Source organism: Homo sapiens, chromosome 14, assembly GCF_000001405.40.
Source record: "Homo sapiens chromosome 14, GRCh38.p14 Primary Assembly".
Lineage (NCBI taxonomy): Eukaryota > Metazoa > Chordata > Mammalia > Primates > Hominidae > Homo > Homo sapiens.
This window is the reverse complement of record NC_000014.9, coordinates 58,085,096-58,109,404: the sequence shown is the minus strand read 5'-3', so window position 1 is coordinate 58,109,404 and position 24,309 is coordinate 58,085,096. Positions and strand designations below refer to the sequence as shown.

At 40.6% G+C, this 24,309-nt stretch overlaps 1 protein-coding gene and 1 pseudogene across 1 annotated transcript in view; one reads left to right on the top strand and one right to left on the bottom strand.

Moving 5' to 3' along the window:
* The window catches only part of ARMH4 (armadillo like helical domain containing 4), a 151,453-nt gene that overhangs the window by 42,809 nt on the left and 84,335 nt on the right, over positions 1 to 24,309 (top strand). The window contains exon 5 of the mRNA NM_001001872.4: positions 12,424 to 12,681. Coding sequence (NP_001001872.2) covers positions 12,424 to 12,681 — 258 coding nt within the window. The remainder of the gene's footprint in view (positions 1 to 12,423; positions 12,682 to 24,309) is intronic.
* Positions 7,833 to 8,420, bottom strand: LOC100420347 (polycomb group ring finger 3 pseudogene; annotated as a pseudogene).

The following is a 24,309-nucleotide window of genomic DNA, read 5'->3' as shown; positions in this document are numbered from 1 at the left end:
CAGAGTGATGGGGAAAGCATTTAAAACAAACAAAAAGTTCTGGGACAATTGGTTGTCCATATAGAAAAAACTATATTGAAGCTACATCCTACACAAAAATCAGTTCTATGTGGTTTAAAAACAGATGTAATAGGCAAACCTTAAACTGACTAAAATTGTAGAATATTTTTCTGACCTCACAATAAAGTTTTTTTAGATATGACACAAAAATTGCTAACCATAAAAATCCTGATAAATTCAGTGATATTAAAACTAAAACCTTTTATAAAAGGATGCTAGAAAGAAAGTGAAAATACAGCTTCTAAAATTAGCAAAAATATTTGTAATCCATATAACTGATAAAGGATTGATGTCCAGGATAGAAAGAACTCTAAAAGAATCAGCGGAAAAATGACAGACAGCCCAATAGAAAGATGAGTGAAAGACATGAGTAGGCATCTCACACAGATACTGAATGGATACACAACCTCATTAGTCATTAAGAAAGTGCAAATGACATCTGGAGTGACATCATTTTATACACACTGGATTGAAAAGAAATGTTTGACAGTGCCAAAGGTTGATGAGGATGTGGAGCTAGGGACATTTATCTAGACATTAGGATGTTGAACACTTGTATTCCTTTTAACCTAGCAATTCCACTTTTAGGAATGTACCCTAGACAAAGCCTTGAACAAATACACTAGAGATCATTTATGAGTGTTCAAGCAGCACTATTCATAACAGCAAAAAAAAATTAGCAACAACCAAATACCCGAAATCTTCCTTGACATGGGGATAAACAAACTGTGACATATATGCATAATGAACAGCATATATCGTGAAAATTAATAAACTAGTGTTTTGTACAACAAGATGTGTGAAACTTAAAACCATAATTTTGAATGGAAAGAAAGTCCCCAAATATAGCAGTCAGTAACTTTGTATGGCTTTAAGGGGAAGAAGGATGTTAAGAAGAATATGCAGATAGGTGTAACAGTATTAATAACTTACTAGTCCTTAAATTGAATAGTGAGTTCTTTGGGGTTCATTTCACTATGAACTTAATAAGATAAATACGGTATATGTATATAGTCTAATATATATCTCCTATTACATGATAAAAATGTAAAAGCACTTGGCAGGAATATTTCCATTTTAGAAATGTAATGAAATTCTATGTATTCTAAGTCAGCTTAACTGTGAGTTGCTGGATTTTGTGGTAGTTATTTCAGAAAATTCTGGTATCCCTTAGAACCTTATGATCCTGGAGAGCCATCTGCTGGAGAGTCGCTGCACATCCTCAAGACGAATTTAATATTTTCTTTCTGGCTTTTAAGTTTTGCACCCAATTTGATGCCCAAGGTAAAAAAAATCTGGAAATAAAAGCAGTGTCATTTCTAGGGCTTCAGTCACTTTATAGGTGGAAACAATGGCTTTTGATTGTTATTGGCATAAGAGTTCCCAGGAAAACGTATGCCTACAAATGTTTCTTCTTTGAGAAAGATGCCACCGGGATGTGTCAGAGCCATTCCCTTCATGGGAGAAGTGGGAGAAAGGCTAATATGCGCTCAGTCCATGCCTGGTGAAGCTACCTTGTTTCTTTTCATGGCATCCTTCTTCTTTTCCACATGGGCTAATTTTTTTTTTTTTTTTTTTTTTGAGATGGAGTCTTGCTCTGTCGCCCAAGCTGGAGTGCAATGGCGTAATCTCAGCTCACTGCAACCTCCGCCTACTGGGTTCAAGCGATTCTCCTGCATCAGCCTCCCAGGTAGCTGGGACTAAGGGCGTGCACCACTACGCCCGGCTAAATTTTGTATTTTTAATAGAGGCTGTTTTTCACCATGTTAGCCAGGATGGTCTCGATCTCCTGACCTCATGATTCACTTGCCTTGGCCTCCCAAAGTGCTGGGATTACAGCCGTGAGCCACTGCATCCGGCCTCTAATTTGTTTACCTTAGATTTAATTTTAAACTTAGTAAAGGGAAGAAAAAGCCACTAAAAGAGAAATTTGACATGTAAAACTCATGAATAAATAGGCAAAAGATGATGATTCAAACTAATCATTGCTATTCCAAAAAGGCAGAAAATACAGGTGAGACTCTATTCTCCTTGAAAGTCAAGATTAGACAGCAGATGTTGGGGAACAGGTGTTCCTACTCTGGATCTTCCTGCCGTCATTGTTGGGATGACACATTCTCAACCAAGGTTTTTTCTATCTTTGATGCATTAGTAACAGCCTGGAAGTGCTAGCTACTTCTGTATCTTCTGGAGATCTAAAAAAGTCAAAGCTGTGATAAAAATGCAGTTAGAGAAACTGAGCACCTTTGGTGGGAACTGCCTATTAAATGACACATGTTTGTAGCAGAGTCAGATTACTAAAATTACTCAGGGTCATAGGGCAAAATTTCTCCCATATATTTTATTGATTTTGTTGAGAGTTAACCCATGGCTCTGGTCCTGAACAAAATGAAGACTCTCGATTTTGGTAACCCTAGACAGAAATATTTGCAATGAATAAAGAAAACAGGTCTGATCCAGAGAGGCAAAAATTCTGGGTTTGCACAAGCTCATTTAAGCCTCTGCTGTGATATTTGAGCATCCAAGGTAGTTTTTTTTTTTTCACCTACCAAGTAACCTGTAAGTAAAACAAAACTTATAAAACTTGTTCCCTGTTAGCTAACAATGTAAGTTTGGAGAATAAAGCCTGAAAAGCCGTTTGAGTCTCTTGGAAGGAAAGCCCCATGTAAGTACAAAGTATCGTCGTGGGCTTTGAACAGCTGTTAAGAGATTGTCAGAGATCTGCCAGACAGATAAAGTTGGCTAAGAGAGGGTACCGTGTAGACACATTTTGTCTGCCTGCCACTTGCAACAGGACATTTCTCTATTTGAGCTATGGACACACTATTTAATATCACTAAGCATCTCTTGGCCATGTGGCACTGTTCTCTGACATTTCTGTTTAATGTTTCTTAGTTTTATTCTCAACTGTTTCAGTTCACCTCAAGCACAGCAGTCAGAAATTGAACCATGTCCCAGTCCCTCTTGCATGCTGAACCATCTAACTGTCTGAACACCTAAGTTAGGGTTTTGGCTGACATCTCATCCAGGTTTTTCACTATTGTTAGGTGTTGGAATTCTTGACAGTGGACATGCTAGCAGGAGCATCAGATTAATCCCGAGTGACTTGATCTCGGTAAGGATGCTATGGAAAAATCCATTAGCTCCATGGCAAGGAGCCCGTCGTTCCTGTCTGTGCATGCTGGACTCAGTGGGACACGTCTTCTAAAGAGATGCTGGTTCAACAAGAGTGAAAAGGAATTTTTCATAATGTGGATTATGTGTTTGGGAGTGGGAACAGTGCAGTTTGTTGGGAGGATTTTGACTGTCAAGAGAGATGGTTACTTAGAAACCATTCTTCCTGCCCATTTGCTGCTAGGGTTGCTGTTAGTGTTTGGGGTTGTGATGTAATCAGTGCCATGTCAACTTGTGAAAAAGAAGTGTTGGTTATGAGGATGAACTTTCCAATTCTAGGTAACATGACTAGAAGGAACTTTTCAGGCTGAGCTCTCTGAATCTTCCTTTCCTGGATTGCAATGTTTTTAGAGATTGTCAGAACAAATATAACTTTACATCTTTGAGCATTATCACTGGTTATTGACATAGGACATGTTTCTACTATGCATAGTAAACCAAGATCAATTATTTCCTTCTTTCTTTCTTTTTTTTTTTTTTTCTTGAGATGGAGTCTTACTCTGTTGCCCAGGCTGGAGTGCAGTGGCGTAATCTCGGCTGACTGCAACCTCTGCCCCCTGGGTTCAAGCGATTCTCCTGCCTCAGCTTCTTGAGTAGCTGGGACTACAGGCATGTGCCACCATGCCTGGCTGATTTTTGTATTTTTAGTAGAGACAGGGTTTTACCATGTTGGCCAGGATGGTCTCAATCTCCTGACCTCGTCGTGATCCACCTGCCTCGGCCTCCCAAAGTGTTGGGATTACAGGCGTGAGCCACCATGCCCGGCCCAATTGTTTCCTTTTAGAGGTTCAGTTTTCTTTGTCTATGCTATCTTTATTTGGAATAATTGTGTGTACGTGTCTTTTACCTTGACCCCATTCTTATTTGGGGTTCAGATGAATGAAAATAAAATTTGGGGTTTATTTAAACAAATTGCAAAACTCAGGCATTACTCTCAAACCTTTAAATATAACTTGGTAGTGTTATTTGATTGAGTTCTTTAATTTTAGTTCTTGGGCCAGGGATCCTGTTATTTTTGGCATAGTTTTATTTGCTGAATGTTTACAGCATGTCATTGTTCTTTGTGTTCAGAGATGTTCATGACATCATTATTTATTTTGGGTGTAACTAATTGAAAGATTGGCCGAAATACAGATGACTTTCTCTTCAGTTTTTATGAATAGAAGATGAACTCTGGTTTGTTTTACAGCTGTTGGTCTTATATGTTGACTTTGTGGTTGCAAGAGTATTCAGAGGAATGTGTTACTGATTGTTTATTAAGTGTTACTATGTGATTCTTTAGATATGGGTTTAAAAAACCGCATCTATCTCATTGTTTATACATTTACTCATGTATTCATTCATTCAAAATACACTTATTGAGCGCTGTTGATTGCCAAGTACTCATTAGTCATTGGTGATATACCAGGGGACAAGACCGTCTTTCCTTTATTCGATAGTTTTCTACATTTCTGGTTCAAGTTGCTATAACATACATTATTTTGCTAATTTGAAGAAAGGTGATAATATCTTTTTTTGTTACTGATCTGTAATAGTAGGTTCTATTGGTAATTGAAGCAGGGTATAGGTGACATACAACTAAAAATGTTTAATGGCTGTAAAATAATTGTAGGCCCATAAAAAGAACATTTTCTGGAAGAAAAAGATTATGAGAGAATAAGGTAGGCTAAAAGAGAAACCTCATTCTAATAAGGCTGACTTCCTTCTATCTTTTCCACACAGTTACCAAAACTTTCTTTTTCTATGACTGTCTTCTCAGGCTAGCTCTATGATTTGGTAAATATTAAAAGGACAAATAGTAAATCTTATAAGTTGCTTAGTGCTGAAGGGTGAAGCTAGTAGTACAAGGAGAAAGCTTTCCTCTTGTATCCCACATGTAAATCAGGGACCTTTCTTACTTTCCCATAATATAAATTGTATACTATTCAATAAGAAGCTTCTAGAGAGAGTACTCCTCGGTTTTATTTTCTGACTCAGAAGAAGGCATCTCATGTTGGACATTTCAGGGCAGAGAGAAGGAGAAGGAAATCTCTACCAAAGTGAGTGTGTGTGGGAGAGTTTATGAGACATGTTGACCCTAGCAGTGTCCTCCAAGTCACATTATAAAGGTAGCAGCCTTCTTGTTGGGCTAGGCTTGCTTACCTGCAACCCTCTCTTTGGGATAGATAATAGGATGGAGTAAAGTGACTTTTGAGGTTCCTTTCATTTTTTTATAATTCTATACTTTAAAGAGAAGAGATTGGCTGAAGATGTTGAGGACCAAGTTGTCTTTGGTGGATGCTAGTGGTCAGAGAACAGTGATCCTAGGAGATCAGGATTATATAGTCACAATTGTTTTATCAGTGCAAACCTCTTAGGTTTGTGGGGAGCAAAGGACACTAAAATTAATTTTATAATGCTTCAAAAATAAATAAATGGGGTCAGACACAGTGGCTCACAGCTGTAATCCAGTACTTTGGGAGGCTGAGGTGGGAGGGTCAATTGAACCCAGGAGGTTGAGGCTGTAGTGAGCCATGTGCACATTACTGCACTCCAGCCTGGGTGACACAGCAAGACTACATCCAAAAAAAAATATAGTGCTCTTTTTGGACAGTTCCTGTTTATAGGAGGAAGGTCCACAAAGTTTTTAAGTAGGGTTTTTTTTTGGGGGGGGCGGGAGTTGGTTTTATGAATAATAGAAATTTATTTCCTCATCGTTCTGGAGGCTGAGGGGTCCAAGACCAAGGTACCAGCATCTGGCAAGGGTCTTCTTGCTGCGTCCTCATGTGGTGGAAGAGCAGAAGAGCATGAGCCCACTCCCATAGCCATTTTTATAAGGGCACCAATCTATTAATTTCCAAACATGAATTTTGGAGGATGCATGCAGACCATAGCAGGGAGGATCCTTCCTGCCTCTTCCAGCTTCTAGTGGCTCAAGTATTCTTCAGCTTGTGGCTTTATCATTCCAGTGTCTGCCTCCCTCTCCACATGACTTTCTCTTTGTCTCTGTGTCTGTATCTCAAGTCTTTCTCTGCCTTATTCTATTTTTTTTTTTTTCGAGATGGAGTTTTGGTCTTGTTGCCCAGGCTGGAGTGCAATGGTGCGATCTCGGCTCACTGCAACCTCCACCTCCCGGGTTCAAGCAATTCTCATGCGTCAGCCTCCCGTGTAGCTGGGATTACAGGCATGCATCACCACGTCCAGCTAATTTTGTATTTTTAGTACAGAGTAGGTTTCTCCACATTGGTCAGGCTGGTCTTGAGCTCCTGACCTCAGGTGATCTGCCTGCCTTGGCCTCCCAAAGTGCTGGGATTACAGGTGTGAGCCACCGTGCCTGACCTCTGCCTTACTCTTTTTTTTTTTTTTTTTTTTTTGAGACGGAGTCTCGCTCTGTCGCCCAGGCCGGACTGCGGACTGCAGTGGCGCAATCTCGGCTCACTGCAAGCTCCGCTTCCCGGGTTCACGCCATTCTCCTGCCTCAGCCTCCCGAGTAGCTGGGACTACAGGCGCCCGCCACCGCGCCCGGCTAATTTTTTGTATTTTTAGTAGAGACGGGGTTTCACCTTGTTAGCCAGGATGGTCTCGATCTCCTGACCTCATGATCCACCCGCCTCGGCCTCCCAAAGTGCTGGGATTACAGGCGTGAGCCACCGCGCCCGGCCGCCTTACTCTTATAAGGATTTTTGTCGTTGTACTTAAGGTCCACCAAGATAATCCAAGACTATTTCATCTCAAGATCTTTAACTTACTTGTACCTGCAAAGATTCTTTTACCAAACGAGGTCCCATTTGCAGGTTCTAGGGGCCCAGATGTGGGTTTATCTCTTTGGGACCACCGTTCCACCCTCTGCTGTCTCCAAAACACATGTCAAGTCTGTCCGCTTTTCCACTATCACTGCACCACCATGGTTCTTCTCTCCTGGGACTCCTGCCATCAGCCTCTCTTGCTTTCCTTTCTCTACCCCATAACTCATTTCCACACAGCCTGAGGGATATTTTAAAACCCTGCCCCAAACCATGTATCCCTGCCTGAGGCCTTCCAGTGCCTTCTCTTACCTGTGCAGAGCTGGTCTCCTGCTGAGAATTTACATCTTCACACAAAACGTTATCACCTTGAGGTGAGCTCCCAGTGATTTTCAGCTCATGTGCTCATGCCACTCTTCCACTACCCAGCCCAGCAGGCCACCAAGTTTCATTTTATTCTCAGCATTTATCACAACTTGAAAGCATTCTCTCTCTCTCTCTCTCCTTCATTCACCCATCCCTCCTTCAACCCACCTACCTACCCATCCATTTGTGAAATTAAAGAACAGACTTCTTCTTTGTGAGGAATATCTTTAACGTATTTTAAAACAGTTTCATCACCTGCCCTCCTCTCCACACCCTCTCCCCCGTTTTCTCTTCTATCAATGGTGGGTTCTTCATGTCCATGGTGTCTGGGCTTTTCACAATCCTCACTGCTGTTTTCTATCATGCTACCGGGCAGGGCAGGCAAAACAAATTGAGATTTTTTTCTGGTTAAAATCTCCAAACAAAGTTGTGAAAAAAAAAAACCCAAGTAATTTTAGAAATGTCATTTTTACCTAAGAATTGACTTGCTTGAGTTTCTCTTTATGGATTGACTATTACCTCATTGAAGGACAAAAGGTTAAGATTTTTGGCAGTGAACTTCTTTAGATGTCAGACCATTGCTTGGGCTATGCAGCAGATTCATTTCCTTTTCAGTCCCCACAACTTGCTGCTGTTGCTTTCCTGCTCATCACTTCTGTGAAAATCATTGTCCTTTTCCTTTTTCTCTTTTTTGGTCTTTGTTTGAACTGTCTTCTGCTTTCATTTCACCATTCTGATGGAAATCTAAGTGTTGTTTTGTGGAACAAGTATCCCCTTTGATGTCTCTAGGCACTTCCATGCCCAATTTGTGACAGAATTCTCTGTTTTCATTTCTGCTTCTTGGAGACCTGATACCAATTTGTAAACAGTCTCATGTATGGTGCTCTCATGACCGATGTACTGCAGTGAGTGAGTGTGACGCATCACAGTCCTACATGCAGGGCAGGTGTTGTTCTCTTACAAATACTTTACCAGGCAACCCCTACAGAATGTGTGCAGACACTTGGTCACCCTGGTTGCATCAATGAGGTGCCCACTACACAGGCGGCAGGTGATGTGGGCCTTAGTGTCCCACAGCTTAATCCTTCTGGTCAACATCTTTGGCTTTTCCTTTGGATGTCTGTCTGCTTGTTTTTCTTTCTGCCTTAGCATGGAGGCCCCACGTCATCACTCTGACTCACTGATTCTGCCTCACTCTGCACTCTGGTTCACTTCTGGCCCTTGCTGTTTTTCAGTTTTCTAGCACAGAAACAGTTACTTTTGAGGGATGGCCAGGAGTCCCTGCTACATTGTGAAGCTGTGATCTTGGTCTTGGGGGTACAGGCAGGGGCACTCCAGGAGAAGGAAGGGGTGCCACTCCTTTCGGATCCACCCCCAAGAGGAGGAGAAAACACCTGTCAAGAATCTAAAATAAAGACATGGAAGTCCTCAGGTAGTTTTAATGGTTCCTGATAGTTTTCCTAATAACCTAAATTTCCATCATGTTTCCTCTATCCAGCCTCTTTTTCAACTTCTCTTTAATTAGAGTCCCTGGTCCATCTTTATAATTACTCCTTCACACACAATCAGTACCCTTTCTTACCCTCTCTCTATCCCTCACACTCTCAATTGAGCTCTTCTGGTAAAACTTGCTGCTGGTTAAATCTCTGTGCCTACTCACCTCTCCACCCATGCCTGCGCCCAAGCAGCTGAATGTGGCTTGAGAAAAACTCACAACCATCTTAACAGGTCTCACTTTAGATATATGATGTCACATCTGAAGTGGGCCTAGAGGGCTGCCTGGCAGTCCTGCCCCATTTCTCTGAGAATGTACTCGCCTACTCTCCAAGACGACTATTTCACGCTTTTTCCTCTCACCTCAAACCACCAACATTTCTCTTTTCCTTTCCAGTTTTTTTATTTGACCGAGAATAAAAGAAATATAAAGATCCCCTACCCACCAAATCTGCCCACCTTCCTGCACCATGCCTGTTTCTCTGCCTTCCCTTTTTCCTACCGTTTCAGGGGAGGATGTATCCAAACCAGCCTGTGCACTGGACCTTGTCTTCTTTTAGTCATTATGAAGAAGCCAACCTGTCCAGTATGCACCAGGCTTAGTTTTAAGTACCTTATAAATTAACTAATGAAATCCTTACAACAGCCTTGTGAGGTAGGAATAATATCAGTTTTACAGACGAGGAGGTTGAGGCACAGCAAAATTCAGCAACGTGTGCAAAAATCACACAGCCGTAATAAATTTGTGTGGCTTCAGAGTCTATGCATGCAGCCACTGTATAATACCATGTCTCCCAGGATATTCTCCCGCAGCTGCTTCTGTCTTTCCTGCCTCATTGATTGCCCCTTTCGATGAGATCTGACCCATTAACTTACAAGCAGGTTCTATTTTCTATATTCTATTTTAAGACCCTACCCTTGACCCTGTGTCTCTCTCCACCTGCCCCCTATTTTCTCTGTTCTCCTTTTAGCCAAATTTCTGGTAAGAATTTTTTGTTTGTTTGTTGTGTCTTCTTTTCTAATCTTTTTTTGAACCACTCCAACCTGGCCTTTGTCTATATCATTCCTCCAAAACAACTTTTGTCAAGGTCCCCCGTGCCCTCCCAATGTCCAAGCCAGAGGGACACCCTCAGTCTCTTACTCGGGCCCTTGGAGACGCTTTCTTCATTTGCCTTCCCTGACACCACACACTTCTTGGATTTTCTCCCACCCTGGTGGTTACTCCTGTTTCCTGTGTGGATCTTCCTCTGCTGGTCACCCTCTAAGTGGTGGCTTTGCCCGGGAATGTGGTCTGGACCATTTCCCTTTCTGTCTATATTCACCTTCTTGATAATCTCAGCCAGTCTCAAGGCTTTGAATATTATTAATAAATTGACAATTCCCAAAATTTATCTCTAGCTTTGAAACTTCCCTAGACTTCCAACATTCCCTTGGATGCCATAGGCCATCACACAGTTACTGTATCTCAAATGCAAATTCTTGTTTTGACTCCTTATCTTTTAGATCCCGTTTTCAGTCATGTGGGATCTTCCTCCTGCATCTCACATTGTACTTATCAGCAGGGTTCTACCTTGAAATTACATCCCCGATATGACTACCTCTCTCCTCTTTCCAGATTGTACCCTAGTCCAAAGCACCATAATCTATTCCTGGTTTTTAAGTGGACTCCTTGTCAGCCTTCTTTTTTCATCTCTTGCTTTGATATAGCCTGTTCTCCACCCTGCTGCTAGAGTCATTCTTTAAAAATATAAGTCAGTACTACCTGTTCCCCAAAAACCTATTGAAATAAATAAAAGACTTAAAAAAAAAAAAAGTCAGATCTGGCCCCTGCCTACTTCTTCCTACCTCATTTCCTGTATTTGCCCTGTGCCTCCCAGCCCAGGCTTCTTTGCCATTGTTTGAACACAGCGAGGCCACACCTGCCTCAAGGATTAGGTCCTTGCCATTTCCTCCACTGGGAATGCTCTTCCTGTAGATGTTGACTTAAATTAAACAAAAGAATGCATTATTTTGGTGTGGCCTCTGTTCAAACTTTACCTTGTCAGAAAAGCTTTCTTTAATCACCCTTTCTAAAATAGCAGTGCCTGGCGTTTTCTATCTTCTTGCCAGTTTTAATGAGAGTGTAGAGTCACCTGCCTATTGGTGTATCTGTTTGTTTGCTGTGAGTCTCCCTGGGTGGCACATGGGCTCCACGAAGGCAGAGACGTTATTGCTTTTATCCCTAGTGTCTGCAACGGCACCCGTTAGGGGGTTGATACATATTTGTTGAATTTTTAGAATAGTGACAGACATTAATCCTACAAAGTTAAAGGACATATAAGAATAAAAAAAGATTAAAGGTGATTTTTTTTAAAAGTTAAAAAGCCTCTGAATGATAGAGGAAAGGTAGTATGGGTGGAGAAAGTTGTGTAGAAGCAGAAAAGGAGAGTCTCACAATTCTTGGGTGGCTCCAGTTCTTCTTCTTCCCTTCTTTTCTCCACCATAGGAGGAGAATTACCTGTTGCAGTAACTGCTGTGCCGAGAGTCAAGGGGAGAGAGCAAAGGGAAGGCCTTCTGTGAACTTTGTGGGCACTTACCAGGGGCTTCAGAGGTGCATCCATGGTGAGGATGGGGCCTTGAAGTATTACTAGGAAATTAACATTGGTGAAACAAAATGAAATTGGGAATCATATGTTCCTTAAACCCACTCCACTTGGAGCATTGAAAATGACAGCTTGTGGTGAAGTGCCATGGCTCACGCCTATAATACTAGCATTGTGGGAGGCCGAGGGAGGAGGATGGCTTGAGTCCAGGAGTCTGAGACTGTGGTGAACCATGATCACGCCACTGCACTCCAGCCTGGGTGACAGAGCAAGACTCCGTCTCAAAAATAAATAAATAAATAAATAAAAAATAAAAAAAAAAAAATCAAGAAAACGACGAATTGTGAATGTTAACTCTTACAATGAAGATAATGGTAATTTTTAATGTGCTGCCTTTCTGACCACTCCTGGTGAATATCCCACTTCCCAATTCCTTTAGAGTTGGATTGAGAATGTTGATGCAATTATTTCCAGTTTCTTGGATTACTCTTCCTTAGAGAGAACAAGATCCAAGAGTGAATTTATGTGCTCCTCACTTACCATTTTTGTGAGTTCTACTCACTGATGTGGATGAATAGAAAAAGCTGTGCCAAAATAATGAATTGTCTCCTTTAACATTATGAGCTATAAAGGGATGGGAACAGCTTCTTTTAAGTTCTGTTAGTATTTCACAGTGTGCTAACTGATAAACTTTTAATGATCTCCAGAAAACAGCAAGGGGATGTTTACTACCCTTGTAAATATAAATAACTTTAATAACAAATCATATTACTTGAACTTTGACTCCCAGTAAACATAATACCTGATACTTATCTGACATAACTATGGTTTTGAAAGTTTAAACTCTAGGACATATGGTGGGTGTATAATCCTGCAAAGTTCACATTGTCTGACTTTGGCTATAAAGATGTGTTTCAAAAGGCCAAACAATTATTTTGTAGTGTTTGGATCATTTCCAAGGATTCATTTGTTTCAGCATAAACTCATTATATGTTTATGCTTCCCTTTGATTTCTTTTTGCCTAGAGGGACAAGAAGATGAGGATGAAGAGGATGAAGAAGATGAAGATGAAGAAGAGGAAGATGAGGAAGAAGATGAGGAAGATAAAGATGCAGACTCGCTGGATGAGGGCTTGGATGGTGACACTGAGCTGCCAGGTTTTACCCTCCCTGGTATCACATCCCAGGAACCAGGCTTAGAGGAGGGAAACATGGACCTGTTGGAGGGAGCTACCTACCAGGTGCCAGATGCCCTCGAGTGGGAACAGCAGAATCAAGGCCTGGGTAAGAGTCATGTGTATTTCCCTTTTCCTCCCTTCTCCCCTCCTTTTATATTTCTCAGATGACAGCCTTCTTTCATTGCCATCTATTGTAAAGAAAAATGGATTTTCTTTGTTTATGGGTGGTTTCTACATTTATGGGTGGTTAAGAATATAAGTATAAACTCACCGAAGAAATAACTGATAATTAAAAATTAAAAATGATCACTTATTTCTTCGATGAGTTTATATTTATGCCCTTAAGTAGCCAGGCTCCAAACAGTCTCCAGCTGCCTATTATGAGTACAGTTGCCTGATGTTTGGAAGAAATTCAGTTTTTCCTTCCCAGTTGGGAGACAGTTGTAGGCTTTAGGAGGACATCCGCACAGGGAGGAGATACGTGTAACCAGGATGTTGGACAAGCAGCACCATGGGACAGAGTCGAAGAACAAATGCATTTTTTGTTCCGCTCTGTCCTTTGGGAATCTATTACCTAGGGGAAGTTCTTCCCCTGCTTGTGGGTGAGCAGTTGGGCAGTCCCATGATTTTTCTGTTCAGACTTGTGGCTGCATTACCTTGTCAAACACGATTTCATTTCAGCAGCTAGGGTGGCCAGACCACTCCATGCTCACTCTCTCTTATTCATGGCCCGTGCTTGTGGTGAGAGACTTGGAGGATGCAGGCCGCTCCTCAGCTCAGCACTTCCTTCCACATCGACAGGGAAGCTCCCCAGTCTGTCCCTCTCCTCTTGTCAGGGGAGACGCTATTAAGCTCTCAGTGACTCCTTGAGGCCCTATTCCCTTGACCTGAGGTGAATTAATCTCTTCTCCAAGGAAACTCTTCTCTAAAATGCTCCTAGTCTTTAACAGCTAGGCCCATTGATTCCTTCAGTGTGGCAGATGTTAGGGTTAAGAGTCAGAAAAACTGGTACAAATACTAGTTTTGGGGATATGTCATTGAAAACTTGTAAGTTGGTCTGGGCCTTTGCTCTGGATGTAATTCTGGGAGTTGCACTCTATAGATTGGCATACAGGTTGTAGTTGACATGTAGCTGGGATTTCCTGTGTAATATGCTATAGGAAGGAGAGAAGATAGTAAGGGATGGGCTTCCAGTGGACAGACAAGATTTCTTGAATTACTTTCTGGCCAAATTCAGCATGCATTGGGCAATGATTACTTTAAAAACATGTCACATGAAACTGGTAAAAACTTATAAGGGTATCAAAACATTATAATATCAAAATACTATAAAACAAACACAAAATAAGATTATCTCTGGTCTGTGAACAAGTGAATGAATATTTAGTCTGAAATGCTTCTGTTCTACATGAACAGGTTTGAAATGAATGAAATAAGATACAAAATACAAAGATAATTTATACCGAACAGGTTAAAAACAGACACAAATCTACACGTAAAGTGACTCCTCGGGTTGTGCACAGCTTTATACTATGGAGGTATCATGTACAGTTAAACAGCCTTTCAGTATGGATGGGATGATATTCGGATGCTCTAGTACTTTACCGGAGAGAGGAGCGAGGGAGACAGGGTTGCCTTAGCACAGAATTAGGAACATCATATGGCATCTACCCTGGATTGTGATCAAAGAAATGAAGTCTCACCACTTATGAAGTGGACTTACCATCTTTGAGTAATTATAAGTAATTAGAGGGTCTTAGAAAACTATAAGGAGGCTCTGAATCAAGGCTAAAATGATCATTTGGGCTGTGGTATTATCATGCTCCTCAATGCAAATTTACCACTGAATAGGAGTCAAGTTTTTAAGGAATCAGCTTTACTGAGGTATGTATTATACACAATTGCACCCACTGAAAGCTTATGATTTGATGAGTTTTGAGAGTTGTATACACCCATGCAACCCCCATCACAATCATGCCGCAGAGCATTTCCATCATCCCACCACCAGTGATTCCTCATGCCCCTTTGCAGTGCATCCCTCCTCCAGTCCTCAACCCCAGATAACCACTGGCCTTTGGTCACTATAGATTAGTTTGCATTTTCTAGAATTTTGTACAAATGACATCATATGGTATATACCATTTTGTGTCTGGCTTAGATCACTTAGCATAAAGATTTTGAGATTCAACTATGTTGTATGTATCAGTAGTTTGTTCTTTGTTATATATAACATACACACATGTACACACATGCACACACTCACATACACATCCACACACATATATATAGCTGACTAGTATTCAATTGTATGGATATACCATGTTTTGCTCATCTAGTCACCTGTTGATGAACAACTGAGTTGTTCCCTGTTTTGGCTAATAGCAGTTAAATTTTAAGGCTTGTCAGGCTTGAGGCTTAGGACAAAAAGCTCTGTTGTCCTCCTGTTCTGACTCCTGATTTCAGTCCCCTTGCACAGCTAAAGTTCTTTTTTTTTTTTTTTGAGAAAGCGTCTCACTCTGTTGCTCAGGCTGGAGTGTAGTGGGGCGATCTCGACTCACTGCAAATTCTGCCTCCCGGGTTCAAACAATTCTCCTGCCTCAGCCTCCTGAGCAGCTGGGACTACAGGTACCCACTCCCATGCCCAGCTAATTTTTGTATTTTTAGTAGAGACAGGGTTTCACCATATTGGCTAGGCTGGTCTCAAACTCCTGACCTTAGGTGATCTGCCCGCCGTGGCCTCCCAAAGTGCTGGGGTTACAGGCATGACCCACCGTGCCCAGCCACAGCTTAAGTTTCTTAAATTAGTGATACCAGTTTAGTAATTTTTTATTCTTTTAAAAATGACTTCTCCAGATCCTGAGTTTTAAAAATATATCAGACTTTTTCTTATTATTTACTATTTCTCTAGGTGTCTCTTACTTTCTGCTGTTGCTTCTTTTTCTAATAAATTCATTTTGTCAACATGTTTTCAGCATTGTGGGTTTCCTGGGAACCAAAGCAAGGAACAAATATTTCAAACTGTTCTTCTCACTGAGAAGATTGTGTTTGAGGAGTATCTGGGTCTAGAATTTTATTAGCCCACCAACCTTTTCTCGGAAGGACAGGAATATCTCCTAGTAATTCAAAACCAATAACAACTTCTGGATCAATATTAAATGGTTCAGTTTACTAAAGACTCTGAGGTCAGGTAAAATAGTAGAAACTCTTTCCTTCTTTGTGATGGATTTTGTGATAATGGCTCCCCGAAGATGTCTATGTCCTAACATCTGGAACCTGTGAATAAATTACCCTACATGGAAAAAGAGACTTTACTGATTTGATTAAATTAAGGATCTTTAGGCTGGGCACAGTGGCTCACACCTGTAATCCCAGTGCTTTAAGAGGCTGAGGCAGGAGGATTGTTTGAGGCCAGGAGTTTGAGGACAGCCTGGGGAACATAGCAAGACTCCATCTCTACAAAAACTGCAGAAAGTTAGCTGAGGGTGGTATGTGCCTGTAGTCCCAGCTACTCAGGAGGCTGAGGTGGGAGGATCACTTAGGCCAGGTGTATTATTAGTTTGTTGTCATGCTGCTATGAAGAGATACCCAAGACTGGGTAATTTATAAAGGAAAGAGGATTAATTGACTCACAGTTCTGCAGGGCTGGGGAGGCCTCAGGAAATTTACAATCATGGCAGAAGGGGAAGCAAACATGTCTTTCCTCACCTGGTGGTAGCAGGGAGGAAAATTGCAGTGGGGTAAAAGCCCCCTATAAAATCATCAAATGTTGTGAGAACTCCCTCATTACTATGAGAACAGCATGGGGAAACTGCCCCCATAATTGAAGCACCTCCCACGAAGTCCGTCCCAGCACACATGGGGATTATGGGAACTACAATTCAAGATGAGATTTGGGTTGGGGCACACCCAAACCATATCACCAGGAGTTTAAGGCTGGAATAAGCCATGATTATGCCACTGTATTCCAGCCTGGGTGACAGAGTAAGACCCTGTCTAAAAAAAAAAAAACAAAAAGGGAAGGATCTTTAAATTGGAATGGGTAGGTTATCCTGGATTATTGGGTGGGCTCATTATAATTACAAGGTTCTTATGAGAGGGAAGTAGGAGGTTCAGAGTTAGAGAAGAAGATGTGATGATGGGAGCGAGGTCGGAGTGATGTAGCCATCAGCCAAGGAATGCTGTCAGCCTCTAGAAGCTGGAAAAGGCAAGGAAACTGATTCTCCTCCAACGCCTCTGGAAGGAATGCAACCCTGCCAATAACTTGGTTTTAGCTCAGTGAGACCCATTTCAGACTTTTGACCTCCAGGACTGCAAGGTAATAAATTTGTGTTATCTGAAGTTTGTGGTAATTTGTTATAGCAGCCATAGGGAATGGATTCAGATTTCAATAGGTATTTAAGGAGCAGCAGCGTTTTGCAGCATTTTGAAAGCAGAGCCTCATGGCAGCTATGCTCAGAGCGTAAACATTGTAAAATTACGTATACTTTTTCCTGTAATGAATCAATAAAAATGCAAACACTGAGATCCTTTGAAAAGTAATCCTATTTAATATGATAACACTTTAATTGGCTGTCCGCTTCATTCCTATTTTTAAATGGGGTTGTTTTATTTATAGGTTATCACCTCCATTTTTACAATATGAATGGTATTCCAAAGCAAATGCTAAAACCCATATAAATTTTTAAAAATGAACAGATTGAGGTGGGTAGTGAACTAAAAATAATGCAAACTCTTGGAATAGATTATAGTCTCATTTCCTGTGAAGTGCCAAGAGCAGGAACATAGATGACTTTCTAAGGCAAAGCAGTAGATTCAGGCCTCAAATTCTCTGTACTTCTGTTTTCTGCACTGTTACATATGCATTGCCTCTGAAGCTTTGGAGGGAGAGAACTTAGTTTCTTCATCTTGCTGCAGGGAATTGTGACTGTGGAGTGAACTGTGTGTTGCTGGGATAGAGAGCATCAGGAGTGAAAGTTCCATGTTTTGATTGAGGTGTATTGACTGATGGGTCAAACGCTAGTAGCATATAGGAAGCTCTCTATTCACATATGCAGAATTAATTTCTTCTTTCATCTAACAGGTTCATTTTCAGATTTATTAACAAGAACCTGTACAGAGAGCAGACACTGTGACCCACACCACTTCTTATCCTGTTGCTATAATAAATCACACAATTATCATCTTTAAAGTGTAAAAATCAGTATGACCAAAGATGAATCAACATATCCATTTTAATGTTTATTTCCAATATAATTAATACCTGGTGATTCATTTCTTTATTCTTCCTTTATTTGTTAGAATGCCTTCAGTTATAGATTATAGAAATCCTAACTTAAATTGGTTTATAGAATGAAGAAATACATTTTTTTCCCCTCAAAACAAGAAGTCCAGAAATAAAGCTCCTGGGTCTATTGATGCAGAACCCCAGTTGTCAGGAGTGACACAAGTTTTTCCCATTTTGCTCTACTACTATCCTTGGTGTGTTGACTTGGCCCTCAGGCTGGCTTCCTTTTAGTTGCAATGGCTGGAACAATTTCAGGTTTCACAGAAAAGACATTGTTCAGAGAAGGAAGGCAACTGTCTTTTCACTGTGCTTCTTTCTTTCCTTTTTTTTTTGTGAGATGGAGTCTTACTTTGTTGCCCAGGCTGGAGTGCAGTGGCGTGATCTTGGCTCACTACAACCTCCACCTCCTGAGTTCAAGTGATTCTCCCGCCTCAGCCTCCCCAGTAGCTGGGATTACAGGCATGCACCATGCCTGTAATTTTTGTATTTTTAGTAGAGATGAGGTTTCGCCATGTTGCCCAGGCTGATCTCGAACTCCTGACCTCAAGTGATCTGCCTGCACTCGGTCTCCCAAAGTGCTGGGATTACAGGCATGAGCTACTGTGCCTGGCCCACTGTGCTTCTTTCTTTTTTTTCTTTTCTTTTCTTTCTTTTTTTTTTTTTTTTGAGACAGGGTCTCACTCTGTCTCCCAGGGTGGAGTGCAGTGGTGTGATCTGAGCTCATTGCAACCTCCACCTCTCGGGTTCAAGCGATTCTCCTGCTTCAGCAGCCCGAGTAGCTGGGATTACAGGCACACACCACCACAGCCCAGCTAATTTTTGTATTTTTAGTAGAGATGGGGTTTCACCATATTGACTAGGCTGGTCTTGCACTCCTGACCTCAAGTGATCCGTCTGCCTTGGCCTCCTAAAGTACTGAGATTACAGGGGTGAGCCACTGTGCCTGGCCACTGTACTTCTTTCTTAAGAGAGAGGCAGCCTTTCGAGAATCCCCCAGTAGACTATATCATGCCCCTGCTTGGCTGAGATTAGGTCACATGCCCATTTCTGAACAATTGTTGGCAAGGAGAATGTGATCACATGATGGGTGGAATGGATGGAGCCAGAGGGCAGTTACCACGTGTGTCATGCATGGTTTCTGTGTTGTTCTATTTTCTTCTCTTGTTGGTGATACACATCTATGTCTCTTCTATCCTCTAAGAATCCCATGATCAATCTTGTTAAATTATTATCTTTATTTGGTTTGAGTTCATGAGTTCTGGATGAGAGCTTGAGGGTGGCATTGTTCCATCTCAAGAAGAGACCATTTTTGTCTACTTTAGAATTTGATTGATGTTCCAGGTGGATAAATCTATTGGTTTGTTAATTGAGAATTATTATAGCTGTCTTTATTTTTTCAAAAGTCTACATCTAACATTGGAATGGACACTTGATTGAGGAAGTGGTATATTTTTCTCTAGAAATCCTTAACAAACATGATGCTCAATTAATGGTCTAGGGATGTTTGTGTAAAACAGAGGAATGGAGGGGAGCACTCATGTATCTATCTTTTAACCAGATATTCATTGAGCACCTACAAAGTGTGTGCTGTATGTTCTGAAAATAGTGAGAGGCTGACAGATAAAGAGATACATAGTCATGGGGCAGAGTGTGGTCTCATAAATGTGAGGTCAGTGGCTGAGCAATTCTATAGTGAGGGACTGAATTATCACTTATCACCAGGGCTTGCTTTGAGTGGGCAGCCATCTCATTTGAGGTGTGACTTCAAGGATGCGCTGTCTGATCCTCTAATTTATATCAGCCTTGCTGTCCTCACACAGCGCCTGCTTTCCAATATTAGAGCCTTCCTTTGCATTGATACGTGTCTTCAGAAGGCCTTAGAAAAATGCAGAACTGCTATCTGGGTAGAACAACTCATTAAAACATTATCATTTATTATGCACTGTAAGGGATTAATTTATCAGGTTCATTAGCTGCTAATTTGGCAAGATGAAAGGGAGAGGAACATAAGATGCATGTGTTTTGAATTGGTAGGAGGGTATAATGCATTGCAGCCTAAGTGTGGGAAGTAGGCCTTCTGGAAACAGAGCACTTGACTGTGAGGAAGTGAGACCCTTAGCCCTAAAATATGTCAGCACTCTCTTCTCTTCCTCCTTTTTTCTTATTATCCATTTAAAACACTTAACATGTAGCTAAGATTGACTACTTAATATAGTGCAACACAGATTGTGGCAGCAAGGAAAAGATGCTTTGCAAAAAATAGTGGGAAGTGTGAGATTTCAAACAGCTCCTCATTGCAACAAATGTCAGTGTATTTTGATGTATAACATGTTAAGCTATGGCCTAAAGGTTTGCTCGAAGCTGCCAAGACTAACATAATTAAGTATGTGTATGGAATGAGTGGAAGGAAAGAAACCTCAGCCCAATGTAACCAGCACAAAGAGAGATGGTAGATTGGCTAAAGCCCCCAGATGACTGCTCTCAATCTTGGCTGCCAGTGGAATCCATTTCTTAGAACTCCTAGAGAGCTATAAAAATTATTGATACCTGGATGCTACCCCTATAAAACAACTGTCTTAAACCGAATCTACTGGTTGTGCCCCAGGGGTGAGGCAGCTTCTGTTTATGTAGGGAGATGGAGAAAGAGCATTTTCAGAAGTGTTGCTGTACATTGTGAATGGAATCCCCATGAGCAAAAATGTACATTACTTTTAATGATCTTTCATGTGTTGGATTAATGTGTCTTAAAAAAAACCCTCAGCTTTTTATAATCATATAGAGATCAAACAAAGTCAATATTCATGATTTAATTTTCCCGGAAAGCTCATGGTCACATTACAGACTCCTGAATCTGGACCATGGAGGTGTATACTCAGACACCTGTATCCAGGATGAGTGGGCTTCTCTCAGTAGGAGCTTCTTCAAGTAGGTATCTGCCAGACGCCTGGGAGTCCTTCCATCCCCAAGATGGTACCCAGGGTTTCTGAATTAGAGAGTAATGCCATTCACTCTTTCTCTGGAAAGAATGGAATTATTTTTCCTAGACAAGAGAAGCAAAGACTTGGGTGCAGACCTCTTTTTTTTTTTTTCACATTAGCTAAGACACCCTGGTGCTAGAGTTTAAAGCAGAGATAATGATCTCTGCCTTGTGAGGATGAACATGTAAAAGAAACTGAACATAAGAGAAATGAACACATAAGAGGATGCCTTTTAAGCCTGATAATTTTTTTTATTCATAGATCTTTCCATTTGAGTTGTTGGTTACTTGTGGATTTGTAGTAGTTGGGAATTTCTAGGGAAGAATATCTATATGCTTGTGGTAAAGGATTCAACAAACTCAGGATTTTAGTAGGTTTTAAATGCACGTATTGCCTGAGTTTTCCTCTTATGTATTTATATCCTGCTGTATCGTACCTATTTGTGCTAGAAACTCCAAATCCTCTTTTTAGCATGACGTAGGTTATAAATAGGTTAAATACCCAAAAATGAATAGACTTCCATCCTGCTGCTCATTCCCAACTGTTCTCGCAGATGTGCACTGTGAACTACAAACACAGAATTCATTAGAACCAAAAGTCAGAAAGAGAACTGGCCAAGCCTAAAGAAAAGCAGGTGCTAGCCTAAAAAGAATTTAAGGTACTCTGTGTTTTTCTTTTATTTTTATGTTCACGAGACTTCTGATGAACAGTTCTAGATATTGGTTACAGTCAAATTCTTGTTTTCCTTTAACATGAGACACTTTAAGGTATTTGGAAAGAGGAAAGGATTGATGGCATAGATAATTTTGTGGGTTGTCCAAGTTTTTCTTGAAGACTGACATTTAATGATGTTTTCACAGCTATGTAGGAATTTCACACCAAAAATCTCAGGCAGACAGCACTGAAGCTTCAGGAATTCATTAATTCCAAGAGTCATAGACAGAACCCAGATGAACCCAGATGATGTTCACTTTGCCCAGGTCAGCTGTGGAACACTGCAAATTCCCTTCTCCTCCCTTTAAATTTTCTTTTGAGAAAATGAACGTGAAGCAGCTCTAAGTCTCAAATGCTAATGTAATGAAGGAAACCCATAAAATAGAGTTAGTTGAGTGTCGCTATAGTCCAGTGGCCACCATGAGAATTTAGTATGTCCAGAGCACTCAGCTAACCCCTCAGGTGAAAAGCCTCCCTGAGGATGTTCCTATGTTGAGGAAGAAAAATTAACCTTGGTTGTTAAAATAACAACCTTTGGACCAGCTGCATCTCCCGACTCAGGGTTCACAGAAGCAATACTATAAGTAGTAGGTTACGTAGGATCTCCTAAATGAACTGTCAAGCTGGCCTCAGGAAGCTGAAGTTATTTTTGAAATTCAAAAGAATTGATGGTGCAAAGTGAAAATACAACAAACCAAAAGCGAAGAAGAAATTAAATGTTAAAACAAGGAATCAGAGATTTAAATCAGGAAATTAGAGGAGCCAACAGTTCAAGGTTCAGAAGCATTTCTTAAAATATCTTTATCTCTTTTATATACTCTTGGTATATTTAGGGATCTCTGTGTGCTGTCTGGTCTATCTTCCTGCCTGTTTCTTTTTGTTGCTCTGTCTGAGACCTCTATCACCAGAACATGTATCAAACATTCCCTACCGACTTTTTCTACCATTGTTTTTCTTTCTTGGAATAGTTGTCTCCCCTTTCCATGTGTCTACACCTGGATCTGGCCGAAGCCTTTCCTGGGAACCCTAACTCACGCTGAGCCCTTCCTTTTGAAATTCTTCCAGTCATTTGTCAGTATTATTTAATTTCTATTCACTGCACTATCTCATTTTGCTTATTTTTTTGGGGAACCTCAGAACATCTAGCACACAGCATGGAGTACTGTTGATTTTTAAAAGGGATTTTTCTTCCAGCTGATCGCCATTCTGGGCCTGAAATTTTCAAGCACAGTTGGGAGGAGAAAGGGGATGCTCTATTGCATCTCTCCTGGATAGTAATGTGGGGGGTGGGGCAAGGTTTTTAGATAACATAAGGTTAATTTGTGGAAAACATGGTAACTGATCAGGTACTGAGGGTTTTCTGTCATGCTTATAACTGACACTAAGCTTAGCTATCATATGGCAGGTAGAGCTTCACCTCATTGTTATTTTTGCTGGTTCTACTTACTCCAAAGTGTTTTTAATATCTACAGAGTCTTTAGTAATCCACTAACTATAGCCTGCTTTCTGGTCATAAACTTTAGAGAGTATTTTGAGGCTAGTTTTTTCCAGAACATCACCTAACATTTTATTTTTTATTTTTGGAATGAACTTTGAGTGATTCTTCACTGTAGAAACGATCAGACCTTAGAAGCGTTGAGTCAATTACATTGATCAGCTTAGCCGCTGAATCAGAGGAAAATCAGATGGCACTCTCATGGAGTGGTTGAGCAATTTAAAAATTTACAAATAGTTAATTAGGTGGCTTTATAGACATAAAGCCTTTGACAGCTCCTACCAAAGAATGAAAACAACTATTGCATCACCTAGATGGAAGTGAGACATTTATAAACCTGATTCTCTCTGCCACTGGTTCATTGCTTCCCCAGTTCTGAGAATCAAGTCTTCTTTTTGTATCTCACTTCTGAATGTAGAAAATTATTATTACGATGTAGCATTTTAAATGTTTTAGGTTCCTGGTTTGAAAATATTTTCTTTTTGTTTCTTTAATGCCCTGTAGGAGCTGTTGGGTTAATGGTACCAAAGTTTCACTAAAAGTAAATTTGAACTTGTTGGTTAGGAAGAGCCGTCTGGAAACCTAAACCCAAATATCTTGGCTCCAAATTATCTATCTTGATTTTATTTCTTCTTACGATCTGTGTGAAATAATAGACTCAATGCTTCTTAGAAGCTGAAGCTCTTCTCTGTATTTTCATAATTAAATTATATTGAATTAGAGAATTGGAAAAAATCACATTTCTTTTATTACAAATGCATTTCTTATGGGAAAATTCAGCAATCACTTTTCCTTTGGAGAGCCAGAAAAGGAGACTTGGAACTAATCCAGAAAATAACCTCTTCATCCACTACAGTTAATAAAAACATTAATAAGACATATTACATCTGAGGAGAATGCTGTGAACTAATTTCTTTGTAATCAGAATGCACTCGTAGGCTCAGTTGGGGAATTATTGAAATATGAAAACATCTAGTAGGCTCTTCTGGGAATTAAACAAGAAGAAACACTAGGAAAACTGGGAAGTTTTTCAGAAAGGAAGAAATTAAGTATAAATTGTCCTCTTTGAAAAAATACAGAGGAAAGTGAACAAAGATGATGTTAAAGAGTTTCCAACTGTTAAAACAAAATGGAGAAAGTAGTCAAAATGGGTCCTTATCTCTTGATTTGTGGTTACATGGTGCTAATTAAGGTGAATTGCTTAATTAAATGCTCTTGGTCCACTCTATTAAGAATCTGGAATATTTGGAGTCTCCCAAATTT